Source organism: Homo sapiens, chromosome 18, assembly GCF_000001405.40.
Source record: "Homo sapiens chromosome 18, GRCh38.p14 Primary Assembly".
In the NCBI taxonomy this organism is placed as follows: Eukaryota; Metazoa; Chordata; class Mammalia; order Primates; family Hominidae; genus Homo; species Homo sapiens.
The window spans coordinates 18487543-18504759 of record NC_000018.10 but is presented as its reverse complement, the minus strand read 5'-3'; the positions used below and the strand labels follow the sequence as shown (position 1 = coordinate 18504759).

The following is a 17217-nucleotide window of genomic DNA, read 5'->3' as shown; positions in this document are numbered from 1 at the left end:
TGTGTCTAGTTGTTATGGGAAGACATTTCCTTTTTCAACATAGGCCTGAAAGCGCTCCAAATGTCCACTTCCAGATACTACAAAAGGAGTGATTCCAACCTGCTCTATGATAGGGAATGTTCAACTCTGTGTCCTGAATACAAACATCACAAAGATGTTTCTCAGAACGCTGCAGTCTGCAATTTGTATGAATTCCCGCTTCCAACGAAATCCTCAAAACTAGCCAAATATCCACTTGCAGATTCCACAAAAAGAGCATTTCAAAACTGCTCTATCAAAAGAAAGGTTCAACTTTGTTAGTTGAGTAGATACAGCATAAACAAGTTTCTGAGAATGCTTCTGTCCAGTTTTTATGGGAAGATATTTCCTTTTTCACCTTAGCCCTGAAATCGCTCCAAAAGTCCAGTTCCAGATACTACAAAAGGGGTGTTTCAAGACTGCTCTATGAAAGGGAGTGTTCAACTTTTGACTTGAATGCAAACATCAGAAAGCAGTTTCTCAGAACGCTGCAGTATGCAATTTGTATGAATTCCCGCTTCCAACGAAATCCTCCAAACTAGCCAAATATCCACTTGCAGAGTCCACAAAAAGAGCGTTTCAAAACTTCTCTATGAAAAGAAAGGTTCTACTCCTTTAGTTGAGGACACACATCACGAGTAAGTTTCTGAGAATGCTTCTGTCTAGTTTTTATGGGAAGATATTTCCTTGTTCACCTTAGGCCGGAAAGCGCTCCAAATGTCCACTTACACACACTACAAAAAGAGTGTTTCAAACCTGCTCTGTGAAAGGGAATGTTCAATTCTGTGACTTGAATGCAATCATCACAAAGAAGTTTCTGAGAATGCTGCTTTCTGCTTTTTATATGTAATCCCGTTTCCAACGAAATCCTCATATCTAGCCAAATATCCACTTGCAGATTCCACAAAAAGAGTGTTTCAAAACTGTTCTGTCTAAAGAAATGTTCAACTGTGTTAGTTGAGGACACACATCAGAAACTAGTTTCTGAGAATGCTTCCGTCTAGTTGTTATGGGAAGATATTTCCTTTTCCAACGTAGGCCTGAAAGCGCTCCAAATGTCCACTTCCATATACTAAAAAAAGAGTGTTTCAAACCTGCTCTACCAAAGGAATGTTCTACTCTGTGACTTGAATGCAAACATCCCAAAGAAGTTTCTGAGAATGCTTCTGTCTAGATTTGATCTGAAGACAATCCCTTTTCCAACGAAATCCTCAAAGCTAGGCAAATATCCTCTTGCAGATTCCAGAAAAAGAGTGTTTCCAAACTGCTCCTTCAAAACGGTGGTTCAATTCTCTTAGTTGAGTACACACATGTCAAATAAGTTTCTGAGAATGCTTCTGCGTAGTTGTTACGGGAAGATATTTCCCTTTCCAACATAGGCCTGAAAGCGCAACAAATGTCCACTTCCAGATACGACAAAAAGAGTGTTTCAAACCTGCTCTACCGAAGGGAATGTTCTACTCTGTGACTTGAATGCAAACATCCCGAAGAAGTTTCTGAGAATGCTTCTGTCTAGATTTTACCTGAAGACAATCCCGTTTCCCACGAAATCCTCAGAGCTATGCAAATATCCTCTTGCAGATTCTACAAAAAGAGTGTTTCGAAACTGCTCTATGAAAAGAAAGGTTCAACTCTGTCAGTAGAGGAAACACATCACCAACAAGTTTCTGAGAATGCTTGTGTCTAGTTGTTATGGGAAGATATTTCCTTTTTCAACATAGGCCTGAAAGCGCTCCAAATGTCCACTTCCAGATACTACAAAAGGAGTGATTCCAACATGCTCTATGATAGGGAATGTTCATCTCTGTGTCCTGAATACAAACATCACAAAGATGTTTCTCAGAACGCTGCAGTCTGCAATTTGTATGAATTCCCGCTTCCAACGAAATCCTCAAAACTAGCCAAATATCCACTTGCAGATTCCACAAAAAGAGCATTTCAAAACTGCTCTATCAAAAGAAAGGTTCAACTTTGTTAGTTGAGTAGATACAGCATAAACAAGTTTCTGAGAATGCTTCTGTCCAGTTTTTATGGGAAGATATTTCCTTTTTCACCTTAGCCCTGAAAGCGCTCCAAAAGTCCAGTTCCAGATACTACAAAAGGAGTGTTTCAGACTGCACTATGAAAGGGAGTGTTCAACTTTTGACTTGAATGCAAACATCAGAAAGCAGTTTCTCAGAACGCTGCTGTGTGCTTTTTATATGTATTCCCGCTTCCAGCGAAATCCCCAAAGCTAGCCAAATATCCACTTGCAGATTCCAGAAAAAGAGTGTTTCAAAACTGCTCCTTCAAAACGGTGGTTCAATTCTCTTAGTTGAGTACACACATCTCAAATAAGTTTCTGAGAATGCTTCTGTCTAGTTGTTATGGGAAGATATTTCCTTTTCCAACATAGGCCTGAAAGCGCTCCAAATGTCCACTTCCAGATACTACAAAAGGAGTGATTCCAACCTGCTCTATGATAGGGAATGTTCAACTCTGTGTCCTGAATACAAACATCACAAAGATGTTTCTCAGAACGCTGCAGTCTGCAATTTGTATGAATTCCCGCTTCCAACGAAATCCTCAAAACTAGCCAAATATCCACTTGCAGATTCCACAAAAAGAGCGTTTCAAAACTTCTCTATGAAAACAAAGGTTCTACTCCTTTAGTTGAGGACACACATCACGAGTAAGTTTCTGAGAATGCTTCTGTCTAGTTTTTATGGGAAGATATTTCCTTTTTCACCTTAGGCCGGAAAGTGCTCCAAATGTCCACTTACACACACTATACAAAGAGTGTTTCAAACCTGCTCTGTGAAAGGGAATATTCAATACTGTGACTTGAATGCAATCATCACAAAGAAGTTTCTGAGAATGCTGCTGTCTGCTTTTTATATGTAATCCCGTTTCCAACGAAATCCTCAAATCTAGCCAAATAGCCACTTGCAGATACCACAAAAAGAGTGTTTCAAAACTGTTCTGTCTAAAGAAATGTTCAACTGTGTTAGTTGAGGACACACATCAGAAACTAGTTTCTGAGAATGCTTCTGTCTAGTTGTTATGGGAAGATATTTCCTTTTCCAACGTAGGCCTGAAAGCGCTCCAAATGTCCACTTCCATATACTAAAAAAAGAGTGTTTCAAACCTGCTCTACCAAAGGGAATGTTCTACTCTGTGACTTGAATGCAAACATCCCAAAGAAGTTTCTGAGAATGCTTCTGTCTAGATTTGATCTGAAGACAATCCCGTTTCCAACGAAATCCTCAAGGCTAGGCAAATATCCTCTTGCAGATTCCAGAAAAAGAGTGTTTCAAAACTGCTCCTTCAAAACGGTGGTTCAATTCTCTTAGTTGAGTACACACATCTCAAATAAGTTTCTGAGAATGCTTCTGCCTAGTTGTTACGGGAAGATATTTCCCTTTCCAACATAGGCCTGAAAGCGCTCCAAATGTCCACTTCCAGATACTACAAAAAGAGTGTTTCAAACCTGCTCTACCAAAGGGAATGTTCTACTCTGTGACTTGAATGCAAACATCCCAAAGAAGTTTCTGAGAATGCTTCTGTCTAGATTTTACCTGAAGACAATCCCGTTTCCCACGAAATCCTCAAAGCTATGCAAATATCCTCTTGCAGATTCTACAAAAAGAGTGTTTCAAAACTGCTCTATGAAAAGAAAGGTTCAACTCTGTCAGTAGAGGGCACACATCACAAACAAGTTTCTGAGAATGCTTCTGCATAGTTGTTACGGGAAGATATTTCCCTTTCCAAAATAGGCCTGAAAGCGCTCCAAATGTCCACTTCCAGATACTACAAAAGGAGTGATTCCAACCTGCTCTATGATAGGGAATGTTCAACTCTGTGTCCTGAATACAAACATCACAAAGATGTTTCTCAGAACGCTGCAGTCTGCAATTTGTATGAATTCCCGCTTCCAACGAAATCCTCAAAACTAGCAAAATATCCACTTGCAGATTCCACAAAAAGACCATTTCAAAACTGCTCTATCAAAAGAAAGGTTCAACTTTGTTAGTTGAGTAGATACAGCATAACCAAGTTTCTGAGAATGCTTCTGTCCAGTTTTTATGGGAAGATATTTCCTTTTTCACCTTAGCCCTGAAATCGCTCCAAAAGTCCAGTTCCAGATACTACAAAAGGGGTGTTTCAAGACTGCTCTATGAAAGGGAGTGTTCAACTTTTGACTTGAATGCAAACATCAGAAAGCAGTTTCTCAGAACGCTGCTGTGTGCTTTTTATATGTATTCCCGCTTCCAGCGAAATCCCCAAAGCTAGCCAAATATCCACTTGCAGATTCCAGAAAAAGAGAGTTTCAAAACTGCTCCTTCAAAACGGTGGTTCAATTCTCTTAGTTGAGTACACACATCTCAAATAAGTTTCTGAGAATGCTTGTGTCTAGTTGTTATGGGAAGATATTTCCTTTTTCAACATAGGCCTGAAAGCGCTCCAAATGTCCACTTCCAGATACTACAAAAGGAGTGATTCCAACCTGCTCTATGATAGGGAATGTTCATCTCTGTGTCCTGAATACAAACATCACAAAGATGTTCCTCAGAACGCTGCAGTCTGCAATTTGGATGAATTCCCGCTTCCAACGAAATCCTCAAAACTAGCCAAATATCCACTTGGAGATTCCACAAAAAGAGGGTTTCAAAACTTCTCTATGAATAGAAAGGTTCTACTCCTTTAGTTGAGGACACACATCACGAGTAAGTTTCTGAGAATGCTTCTGTCTAGTTTTTATGGGAAGATATTTCCTTTTTCACCTTAGGCCGGAAAGCGCTCCAAATGTCCACTTACACACACTACAAAAAGAGTGTTTCAAACCTGCTCTGTGAAAGGGAATGTTCAATTCTGTGACTTGAATGCAATCATCACAAAGAACTTTCTGAGAATGCTGCTGTCTGCTTTTTATATGTAATCCCGTTTCCAACGAAATCCTCAAATCTAGCCAAATATCCACTTGCAGATTCCACAAAAAGAGTGTTTCAAAACTGTTCTGTCTAAAGAAAAGTTCAACTGTGTTAGTTGAGGACACACATCAGAAACTAGTTTCTGAGAATGCTTCTGTCTAGTTGTTATGGGAAGATATTTCCTTTTCCAACGTAGGCCTGAAAGCGCTCCAAATGTCCACTTCCATATACTAAAAAGAGAGTGTTTCAAACCTGCTCTACCAAAGGGAATGTTCTACTCTGTGACTTGAATGCAAACATCCCAAAGAAGTTTCTGAGAATGCTTCTGTCTAGATTTGATCTGAAGACAATCCCGTTTCCAACGAAATCCTCAAGGCTAGGCAAATATACTCTTGCAGATTCCAGAAAAAGAGTGTTTCAAAACTGCTCCTTCAAAACGGTGGTTCAATTCTCTTAGTTGAGTACACACATCTCAAATAAGTTTCTGAGAATGCTTCTGCCTAGTTGTTACGGGAAGATATTTCCCTTTCCAACATGGGCCTGAAAGCGCTCCAAATGTCCACTTCCAGATACTACAAAAAGAGTGTTTCAAACCTGCTCTACCAAAGGGAATGTTCTACTCTGTGACTTGAATGCAAACATCCCAAAGAAGTTTCTGAGAATGCTTCTGTCTAGATTTTACCTGAAGACAATCCCGTTTCCCACGAAATCCTCAAAGCTATGCAAATATCCTCTTGCGGATTCTACAAAAAGAGTGTTTCAAAACTGCTCTATGAAAAGAAAGGTTCAACTCTGTCAGTAGAGGGCACACATCACAAACAAGTTTCTGAGAATGCTTGTGTCTAGTTGTTATGGGAAGATATTTCCTTTTTCAACATAGGCCTGAAAGCGCTCCAAATGTCCACTTCCAGATACTACAAAAGGAGTGATTCCAACATGCTCTATGATAGGGAATGTTCATCTCTGTGTCCTGAATACAAACATCACAAAGATGTTTCTCAGAACGCTGCAGTCTGCAATTTGTATGAATTCCCGCTTCCAACGAAATCCTCAAAACTAGCCAAATATCCACTTGCAGATTCCACAAAAAGAGCATTTCAAAACTGCTCTATCAAAAGAAAGGTTCAACTTTGTTAGTTGAGTAGATACAGCATAAACAAGTTTCTGAGAATGCTTCTGTCCACTTTTTATGGGAAGATATTTCCTTTTTCACCTTAGCCCTGAAAGCGCTCCAAAAGTCCAGTTCCAGATACTACAAAAGGAGTGTTTCAGGACTGCTCTATGAAAGGGAGTGTTCAACTTTTGACTTGAATGCAAACATCAGAAAGCAGTTTCTCAGAACGCTGCTGTGTGCTTTTTATATGTATTCCCGCTTCCAGCGAAATCCCCAAAGCTAGCCAAATATCCACTTGCAGATTCCAGAAAAAGAGTGTTTCAAAACTGCTCCTTCAAAACGGTGGTTCAATTCTCTTAGTTGAGTACACACATCTCAAATAAGTTTCTGAGAATGCTTGTGTCTAGTTGTTATGGGAAGATATTTCCTTTTTCAACATAGGCCTGTAAGCGCTCCAAATGTCCACTTCCAGATACTACAAAAGGAGTGATTCCAACCTGCTCTATGATAGGGAATGTTCAACTCTCTGTCCTGAATACAAACATCACAAAGATGTTTCTCAGAACGCTGCAGTCTGCAATTTGTATGAATTCCCGCTTCCAACGAAATCCTCAAAACTAGCCAAATATCCACTTGGAGATTCCACAAAAAGAGCGTTTCAAAACTTCTCTATGAATAGAAAGGTTCTACTCCTTTAGTTGAGGACACACATCACGAGTAAGTTTCTGAGAATGCTTCTGTCTAGTTTTTATGGGAAGATATTTCCTTTTTCACCTTAGGCCGGAAAGCGCTCCAAATGTCCACTTACACACACTACAAAAAGAGTGTTTCAAACCTGCTCTGTGAAAGGGAATGTTCAATTCTGTGACTTGAATGCAATCATCACAAAGAACTTTCTGAGAATGCTGCTGTCTGCTTTTTATATGTAATCCTGTTTCCAACGAAATCCTCAAATCTAGCCCAATATCCACTTGCAGATTCCACAAAAAGAGTGTTTCAAAACTGTTCTGTCTAAAGAAATGTACAACTGTGTTAGTTGAGGACACACATCAGAAACTAGTTTCTGAGAATGCTTCTGTCTAGTTGTTATGGGAAGATATTTCCTTTTCCAACGTAGGCCTGAAAGCGCTCCAAATGTCCACTTCCATATACTAAAAAAAGAGTGTTTCAAACCTGCTCTACCAAAGGGAATGTTCTACTCTGTGACTTGAATGCAAACATCCCAAAGAAGTTTCTGAGAATGCTTCTGTCTAGATTTTATCTGAAGACAGTCCCGTTTCCAACGAAATCCTCAAGGCTAGGCAAATATACTCTTGCAGATTCCAGAAAAAGAGTGTTTCAAAACTGCTCCTTCAAAACGGTGGTTCAATTCTCTTAGTTGAGTACACACATCTCAAATAAGTTTCTGAGAATGCTTCTGCCTAGTTGTTACGGGAAGATATTTCCCTTTCCAACATGGGCCTGAAAGCGCTCCAAATGTCCACTTCCAGATACTACAAAAAGAGTGTTTCAAACCTGCTCTACCAAAGGGAATGTTCTACTCTGTGACTTGAATGCAAACATCCCAAAGAAGTTTCTGAGAATGCTTCTGTCTAGATTTTACCTGAAGACAATCCCGTTTCCCACGAAATCCTCAAAGCTATGCAAATATCCTCTTGCAGATTCTACAAAAAGAGTGTTTCAAAAGTGCTCTATGAAAAGAAAGGTTCAACTCTGTCAGTAGAGGGCACACATCACAAACAAGTTTCTGAGAATGCTTCTGCATAGTTGTTACGGGAAGATATTTCCCTTTCCAAAATAGGCCTGAAAGCGCTCCAAATGTCCACTTCCAGATACTACAAAAGGAGTGATTCCAACCTGCTCTATGATAGGGAATGTTCAACTCTGTGTCCTGAATACAAACATCACAAAGATGTTTCTCAGAACGCTGCAGTCTGCAATTTGTATGAATTCCCGCTTCCAACGAAATCCTCAAAACTAGCCAAATATCCACTTGCAGATTCCACAAAAAGAGCATTTCAAAACTGCTCTATCAAAAGAAAGGTTCAACTTTGTTAGTTGAGTAGATACAGCATAAACAAGTTTCTGAGAATGCTTCTGTCCAGTTTTTATGGGAAGATATTTCCTTTTTCACCTTAGCCCTGAAAGCGCTCCAAAAGTCCAGTTCCAGATACCACAAAAGGGGTGTTTCAGTACTGCTCTATGAAAGGGAGTGTTCAACTTTTGACTTGAATGCAAACATCAGAAAGCAGTTTCTCAGAACGCTGCTGTGTGCTTTTTATATGTATTCCCGCTTCCAGCGAAATCCCCAAAGCTAGCCAAATATCCACTTGCAGATTCCAGAAAAAGAGTGTTTCAAAACTGCTCCTTCAAAACGGTGGTTCAATTCTCTTAGTTGAGTACACACATCTCAAATAAGTTTCTGAGAATGCTTGTGTCTAGTTGTTATGGGAAGATATTTCCTTTTTCAACATAGGCCTGAAAGCGCTCCAAATGTCCACTTCCAGATACTACAAAAGGAGTGATTCCAACCTGCTCTATCATAGGGAATGTTCATCTCTGTGTCCTGAATACAAACATCACAAAGATGTTTCTCAGAACGCTGCAGTCTGCAATTTGTATGAATTCCCGCTTCCAACGAAATCCTCAAAACTAGCCAAATATCCACTTGGAGATTCCACAAAAAGAGCATTTCAAAACTTCTCTATGAATAGAAAGGTTCTACTCCTTTAGTTGAGGACACACATCACGAGTAAGTTTCTGAGAATGCTTCTGTCTAGTTTTTATGGGAAGATATTTCCTTTTTCACCTTAGGCCGGAAAGCGCTCCAAATGTCCACTTACACACACTACAAAAAGAGGGTTTCAAACCTGCTCTGTGAAAGGGAATGTTCAATTCTGTGACTTGAATGCAATCATCACAAAGAACTTTCTGAGAATGCTGCTGTCTGCTTTTTATATGTAATCCCGTTTCCAACGAAATCCTCAAATCTAGCCAAATAGCCACTTGCAGATTCCACAAAAAGAGTGTTTCAAAACTGTTCTGTCTAAAGAAAAGTTCAACTGTGTTAGTTGAGGACACACATCAGAAACTAGTTTCTGAGAATGCTTCTGTCTAGTTGTTATGGGAAGATATTTCCTTTTCCAACGTAGGCCTGAAAGCGCTCCAAATGTCCACTTCCATATACTAAAAAAAGAGTGTTTCAAACCTGCTCTACCAAAGGGAATGTTCTACTCTGTGACTTGAATGCAAACATCCCAAAGAAGTTTCTGAGAATGCTTCTGTCTAGATTTTATCTGAAGACAATCCCGTTTCCAACAAAATCCTCAAGGCTAGGCAAATATACTCTTGCAGATTCCAAGAAAAAGAGGGTTTCAAAACTGCTCCTTCAAAACGGTGGTTCAATTCTCTTAGTTGAGTACACACATCTCAAATAAGTTTCTGAGAATGCTTCTGCCTAGTTGTTACGGGAAGATATTTCCCTTTCCAACATGGGCCTGAAAGCGCTCCAAATGTCCACTTCCAGATACTACAAAAAGAGTGTTTCAAACCTGCTCTACCAAAGGGAATGTTCTACTCTGTGACTTGAATGCAAACATCCCAAAGAAGTTTCTGAGAATGCTTCTGTCTAGATTTTACCTGAAGACAATCCCGTTTCCCACGAAATCCTCAAAGCTATGCAAATATCCTCTTGCAGATTCTACAAAAAGAGTGTTTCAAAACTGCTCTATGAAAAGAAAGGTTCAACTCTGTCAGTAGAGGGCACACATCACAAACAAGTTTCTGAGAATGCTTCTGCATAGTTGTTACGGGAAGATATTTCCCTTTCCAAAATAGGCCTGAAAGCGCTCCAAATGTCCACTTCCAGATACTACAAAAGGAGTGATTCCAACCTGCTCTATGATAGGGAATGTTCAACTCTGTGTCCTGAATACAAACATCACAAAGATGTTTCTCAGAACGCTGCAGTCTGCAATTTGTATGAATTCCCGCTTCCAACGAAATCCTCAAAACTAGCCAAATATCCACTTGCAGATTCCACAAAAAGACCATTTCAAAACTGCTCTATCAAAAGAAAGGTTCAACTTTGTTAGTTGAGTAGATACAGCATAAACAAGTTTCTGAGAATGCTTCTGTCCAGTTTTTATGGGAAGATATTTCCTTTTTCACCTTAGCCCTGAAATCGCTCCAAAAGTCCAGTTCCAGATACTACAAAAGGGGTGTTTCAGGACTGCTCTATGAAAGGGAGTGTTCAACTTTTGACTTGAATGCAAACATCAGAAAGCAGTTTCTCAGAACGCTGCTGTGTGTTTTTTATATGTATTCCCGCTTCCAGCGAAATCCCCAAAGCTAGCCAAATATCCACTTGCAGATTCCAGAAAAAGAGCGTTTCAAAACTGCTCCTTGAAAACGGTGGTTCAATTCTCTTAGTTGAGTACACCCATCTCAAATAAGTTTCTGAGAATGCTTCTGTCTAGTTGTTATGGGAAGATATTTCCTTTTCCAACATAGGCCTGAAAGCGCTCCAAATGTCCACTTCCAGATACTACAAAAGGAGTGATTCAAACCTGCTCTATGATAGGGAATGTTCAACTCTGTGTCCTGAATACAAACATCACAAAGATGTTTCTCAGAACGCTGCAGTCTGCAATTTGTATGAATTCCCGCTTCCAACGAAATCCTCAAAACTAGCCAAATATCCACTTGCAGATTCCACAAAAAGAGCGTTTCAAAACTTCTCTATGAAAAGAAAGGTTCTACTCCTTTAGTTGAGGACACACATCACGAGTAAGTTTCTGAGAATGCTTCTGTCTAGTTTTTATGGGAAGATATTTCCTTTTTCACCTTAGGCCGGAAAGTGCTCCAAATGTCCACTTACACACACTACAAAAAGAGTGTTTCAAACCTGCTCTGTGAAAGGGAATGTTCAATTCTGTGACTTGAATGCAATCATCACAAAGAAGTTTCTGAGAATGCTGCTGTCTGCTTTTTATATGTAATCCCGTTTCCAACGAAATCCTCAAATCTAGCCAAATATCCACTTGTAGATTCCACAAAAAGAGGGTTTCAAAACTGTTCTGTCTAAAGAAATGTTCAACTGTGTTAGTTGAGGACACACATCAGAAACTAGTTTCTGAGAATGCTTCTGTCTAGTTGTTATGGGAAGATATTTCCTTTTCCAACGTAGGCCTGAAAGCGCTCCAAATGTCCACTTACACACACTACAAAAAGAGTGTTTCAAACCTGCTCTACCAAAGGGAATGTTCTACTCTGTGACTTGAATGCAAACATCCCAAAGAAGTTTCTGAGAATGCTTCTGTCTAGATTTTACCTGAAGACAATCCCGTTTCCCACGAAATCCTCAAAGCTATGCAAATATCCTCTTGCAGATTGTACAAAAAGAGTGTTTCGAAACTGCTCTATGAAAAGAAAGGTTCAACTGTGTCAGTAGAGGGCACACATCACAAACAAGTTTCTGAGAATGCTTCTGCCTAGTTGTTATAGGAAGATATTTCCTTTTTCAACATAGGCCTGAAAGCGCTCCAAATGTCCACTTCGAGATACTACAAAAGGAGTGATTCCAACCTGCTCGATGATAGGGAATGTTCAACTCTGTGTCCTGAATACAAACATCACAAAGATGTTTCTCAGAACGCTGCAGTCTGCAATTTGTATGAATTCCCGCTTCCAACGAAATCCTCTAACCTAGCCAAATATCCACTTGCAGATTCCACAAAAAGAGCATTTCAAAACTGCTCTATCAAAAGAAAGGTTCAACTTTGTTAGTTGAGTAGATACAGCATAAACAAGTTTCTGAGAATGCTTCTGTCCAGTTTTTATGGGAAGATATTTCCTTTTTCACTTGAGCCCTGAAAGCGCTCCAAATGTCCAGTTCCAGATACTACAAAAGGGGTGTTTCAAGACTGCTCTATGAAAGGGAGTGTTCAACTTTTGACTTGAATGCAAACATCAGAAAGCAGTTTCTCAGAACGCTGCAGTCTGCAATTTGTATGAATTCCCGCTTCCAACGAAATCCTCAAAACTAGCCAAATATCCACTTGCAGATTCCACAAAAAGAGCGTTTCAAAACTTCTCTATGAAAAGAAAGGTTCTACTCCTTTAGTTGAGGACACACAATACGAGTAAGTTTCTGAGAATGCTTCTGTCCAGTTTTTATGGGAAGATATTTCCTTTTTCACCTTAGCCCTGAAAGCGCTCCAAAAGTCCAGTTCCAGATACTACAAAAGGAGTGTTTCAGGACTGCTCTATGAAAGGGAGTGTTCAACTTTTGACTTGAATGCAAACATCAGAAAGCAGTTTCTCAGAACGCTGCTGTGTGCTTTTTATATGTATTCCCGCTTCCAGCGAAATCCCCAAAGCTAGCCAAATATCCACTTGCAGATTCCAGAAAAAGAGTGTTTCAAAACTGCTCCTTCAAAACGGTGGTTCAATTCTCTTAGTTGAGTACACACATCTCAAATAAGTTTCTGAGAATGCTTCTGTCTAGTTGTTATGGGAAGATATTTCCTTTTCCAACATAGGCCTGAAAGCGCTCCAAATGTCCACTTCCAGATACTACAAAAGGAGTGATTCAAACCTGCTCTATGATAGGGAATGTTCAACTCTGTGTCCTGAATACAAACATCACAAAGATGTTTCTCAGAACGCTGCAGTCTGCAATTTGTATGAATTCCCGCTTCCAGCGAAATCCTCAAAACTAGCCAAATATCCACTTGCAGATTCCACAAAAAGAGCATTTCAAAACTGCTCTATCAAAAGAAAGGTTCAACTTTGTTAGTTGAGTAGATACAGCATAAACAAGTTTCTGAGAATGCTTCTGTCCAGTTTTTATGGGAAGATATTTCCATTTTCACCTTAGCCCTGAAAGCGCTCCAAAAGTCCAGTTCCAGATACTACAAAAGGAGTGTTTCAGGACTGCTCTATGAAAGGGAGTGTTCAACTTTTGACTTGAATGCAAACATCAGAAAGCAGTTTCTCAGAACGCTGCTGTGTGCTTTTTATATGTATTCCGGCCTCCAGCGAAATCCCCAAAGCTAGCCAAATATCCACTTGCAGATTCCAGAAAAAGAGTGTTTCAAAACTGCTCCTTCAAAACGGTGGTTCAATTCTCTTAGTTGAGTACACACATCTCAAATAAGTTTCTGAGAATGCTTCTGTCTAGTTGTTATGGGAAGATATTTCCTTTTCCAACATAGGCCTGAAAGCGCTCCAAATGTCCACTTCCAGATACTACAAAAGGAGTGATTCAAACCTGCTCTATGATAGGGAATGTTCAACTCTGTGTCCTGAATACAAACATCACAAAGATGTTTCTCAGAACGCTGCAGTCTGCAATTTGTATGAATTCCCGCTTCCAACGAAATCCTCCAAACTAGCCAAATATCCACTTGCAGATTCCACAAAAAGAGCGTTTCAAAACTTCTCTATGAAAAGAAAGGTTCTACTCCTTTAGTTGAGGACACACATCACGAGTAAGTTTCTGAGAATGCTTCTGTCTAGTTTTTATGGGAAGATATTTCCTTTTTCACCTTAGGCGGGAAAGTGCTCCAAATGTCCACTTACACACACTTCAAAAAGAGTGTTTCAAACCTGCTCTGTGAAAGGGAATGTTCAATTCTGTGACTTGAATGCAATCATCACAAAGAACTTTCTGAGAATGCTGCTGTCTGCTTTTTATATGTAATCCCGTTTCCAACGAAATCCTCAAATCTAGCCAAATAGCCACTTGCAGATTCCACAAAAAGAGTGTTTCAAAACTGTTCTGTCTAAAGAAATGTTCAACTGTGTTAGTTGAGGACACACATCAGAAACTAGTTGCTGAGAATGCTTCTGTCTAGTTGTTATGGGAAGATATTTCCTTTTCCAACGTAGGCCTGAAAGCGCTCCAAATGTCCACTTCCATATACTAAAAAAAGAGTGTTTCAAACCTGCTCTACCAAAGGGAATGTTCTACTCTGTGACTTGAATGCAAACATCCCAAAGAAGTTTCTGAGAATGCTTCTGTCTAGATTTGATCTGAAGACAATCCCGTTTCCTACGAAATCCTCAAGGCTAGGCAAATATCCTCTTGCAGATTCCAGAAAAAGAGTGTTTCAAAACTGCTCCTTCAAAACGGTGGTTCAATTCTCTTAGTTGAGTACACACATCTCAAATAAGTTTCTGAGAATGCTTCTGCCTAGTTGTTACGGGAAGATATTTCCCTTTCCAACATAGGCCTGAAAGCGCTCCAAATGTCCACTTCCAGATACTACAAAAAGAGTGTTTCAAACCTGCTCTACCAAAGGGAATGTTCTACTCTGTGACTTGAATGCAAACATCCCAAAGAAGTTTCTGAGAATGCTTCTGTCTAGATTTTACCTGAAGACAATCCGGTTTCCCACGAAATCCTCAAAGCTATGTAAATATCCTCTTGCAGATTCTACAAAAAGAGTGTTTCAAAACTTCTCTATGAAAAGAAAGGTTCAACTCTGTCAGTATAGGGCACACATCACAAACAAGTTTCTGAGAATGCTTCTGCATAGTTGTTACGGGAAGATATTTCCCTTTCCAAAATAGGCCTGAAAGCGCTCCAAATGTCCACTTCCAGATACTACAAAAGGAGTGATTCCAACCTGCTCTATGATAGGGAATGTTCAACTCTGTGTCCTGAATACAAACATCACAAAGATGTTTCTCAGAACGCTGCAGTCTGCAATTTGTATGAATTCCCGCTTCCAACGAAATCCTCAAAACTAGCCAAATATCCACTTGCAGATTCCACAAAAAGACCATTTCAAAACTGCTCTATCAAAAGAAAGGTTCAACTTTGTTAGTTGAGTAGATACAGCATAACCAAGTTTCTGAGAATGCTTCTGTCCAGTTTTTATGGGAAGATATTTCCTTTTTCACCTTAGCCCTGAAATCGCTCCAAAAGTCCAGTTCCAGATACTACAAAAGGGGTGTTTCAAGACTGCTCTATGAAAGGGAGTGTTCAACTTTTGACTTGAATGCAAACATCAGAAAGCAGTTTCTCAGAACGCTGCTGTGTGCTTTTTATATGTATTCCCGCTTCCAGCGAAATCCCCAAAGCTAGCCAAATATCCACTTGCAGATTCCAGAAAAAGAGAGTTTCAAAACTGCTCCTTCAAAACGGTGGTTCAATTCTCTTAGTTGAGTACACACATCTCAAATAAGTTTCTGAGAATGCTTCTGTCTAGTTGTTATGGGAAGATATTTCCTTTTCCAACATAGGCCTGAAAGCGCTCCAAATGTCCACTTCCAGATACTACAAAAGGAGTGATTCAAACCTGCTCTATGATAGGGAATGTTCAACTCTGTGTCCTGAATACAAACATCACAAAGATGTTTCTCAGAACGCTGCAGTCTGCAATTTGTATGAATTCCCGCTTCCAACGAAATCCTCCAAACTAGCCAAATATCCACTTGCAGATTCCACAAAAAGAGCGTTTCAAAACTTCTCTATGAAAAGAAAGGTTCTACTCCTTTAGTTGAGGACACACATCACGAGTAAGTTTCTGAGAATGCTTCTGTCTAGTTTTTATGGGAAGATATTTCCTTTTTCACCTTAGGCCGGAAAGTGCTCCAAATGTCCACTTACACACACTACAAAAAGAGTGTTTCAAACCTGCTCTGTGAAAGGGAATGTTCAATTCTGTGACTTGAATGCAATCATCACAAAGAACGTTCTGAGAATGCTGCTGTCTGTTTTTTTATATGTAATCCCGTTTCCAACGAAATCCTCAAATCTAGCCAAATAGCCACTTGCAGATTCCACAAAAAGAGTGTTTCAAAACTGTTCTGTCTAAAGAAATGTTCAACTGTGTTAGTTGAGGACACACATCAGAAACTAGTTTCTGAGAATGCTTCTGTCTAGTTGTTATGGGAAGATATTTCCTTTTCCAACGTAGGCCTGAAAGCGCTCCAAATGTCCACTTCCATATACTAAAAAAAGAGTGTTTCAAACCTGCTCTACCAAAGGGAATGTTCTACTCTGTGACTTGAATGCAAACATCCCAAAGAATTTTCTGAGAATGCTTCTGTCTAGATTTGATCTGAAGACAATCCCGTTTCCAACGAAATCCTCAAGGCTAGGCAAATATCCTCTTGCAGATTCCAGAAAAAGAGTGTTTCAAAACTGCTCCTTCAAAACGGTGGTTCAATTCTCTTAGTTGAGTACACACATCTCAAATAAGTTTCTGAGAATGCTTCTGCCTAGTTGTTACGGGAAGATATTTCCCTTTCCAACATAGGCCTGAAAGCGCTCCAAATGTCCACTTCCAGATACTACAAAAAGAGTGTTTCAAACCTGCTCTACCAAAGGGAATGTTCTGCTCTGTGACTTGAATGCAAACATCCCAAAGAAGTTTCTGAGAATGCTTCTGTCTAGATTTTACCTGAAGACAATCCCGTTTCCCACGAAATCCTCAAAGCTATGCAAATATCCTCTTGCAGATTCTACAAAAAGAGTGTTTCAAAACTGCTCTATGAAAAGAAAGGTTCAACTCTGTCAGTAGAGGGCACACATCACAAACAAGTTTCTGAGAATGCTTCTGTCTAGTTGTTATGGGAAGATATTTCCTTTTTCAACATAGGCCTGAAAGCGCTCCAAATGTCCACTTCCAGATACTACAAAAGGAGTGATTCCAACCTGCTCTATGATAGGGAATGTTCAACTCTGTGTCCTGAATACAAACATCACAAAGATGTTTCTCAGAACGCTGCAGTCTGCAATTTGTATGAATTCCCGCTTCCAACGAAATCCTCCAAACTAGCCAAATATCCACTTGCAGATTCCACAAAAAGAGCGTTTCAAAACTTCTCTATGAAAAGAAAGGTTCTACTCCTTTAGTTGAGGACACACATCACGAGTAAGTTTCTGAGAATGCTTCTGTCTAGTTTTTATGGGAAGATATTTCCTTGTTCACCTTAGGCCGGAAAGCGCTCCAAATGTCCACTTACACACACTACAAAAAGAGTGTTTCAAACCTGCTCTGTGAAAGGGAATGTTCAATTCTGTGACTTGAATGCAATCATCACAAAGAAGTTTCTGAGAATGCTGCTGTCTGCTTTTTATATGTAATCCCGTTTCCAACGAAATCCTCAAATCTAGCCAAATAGCCACTTGCAGATTCCACAAAAAGAGTGTTTCAAAAC

General features: G+C 39.7%; 1 annotated feature.

The window, feature by feature from the left end:
• Window positions 1–17217: part of a centromere (Linear centromere model derived predominantly from reads generated in PMID: 17803354. This region does not represent an actual centromere sequence, as long-range ordering of repeats and unmapped WGS contigs is not provided by the model. For details of model production, see http://arxiv.org/abs/1307.0035.) that runs on past both edges of the window.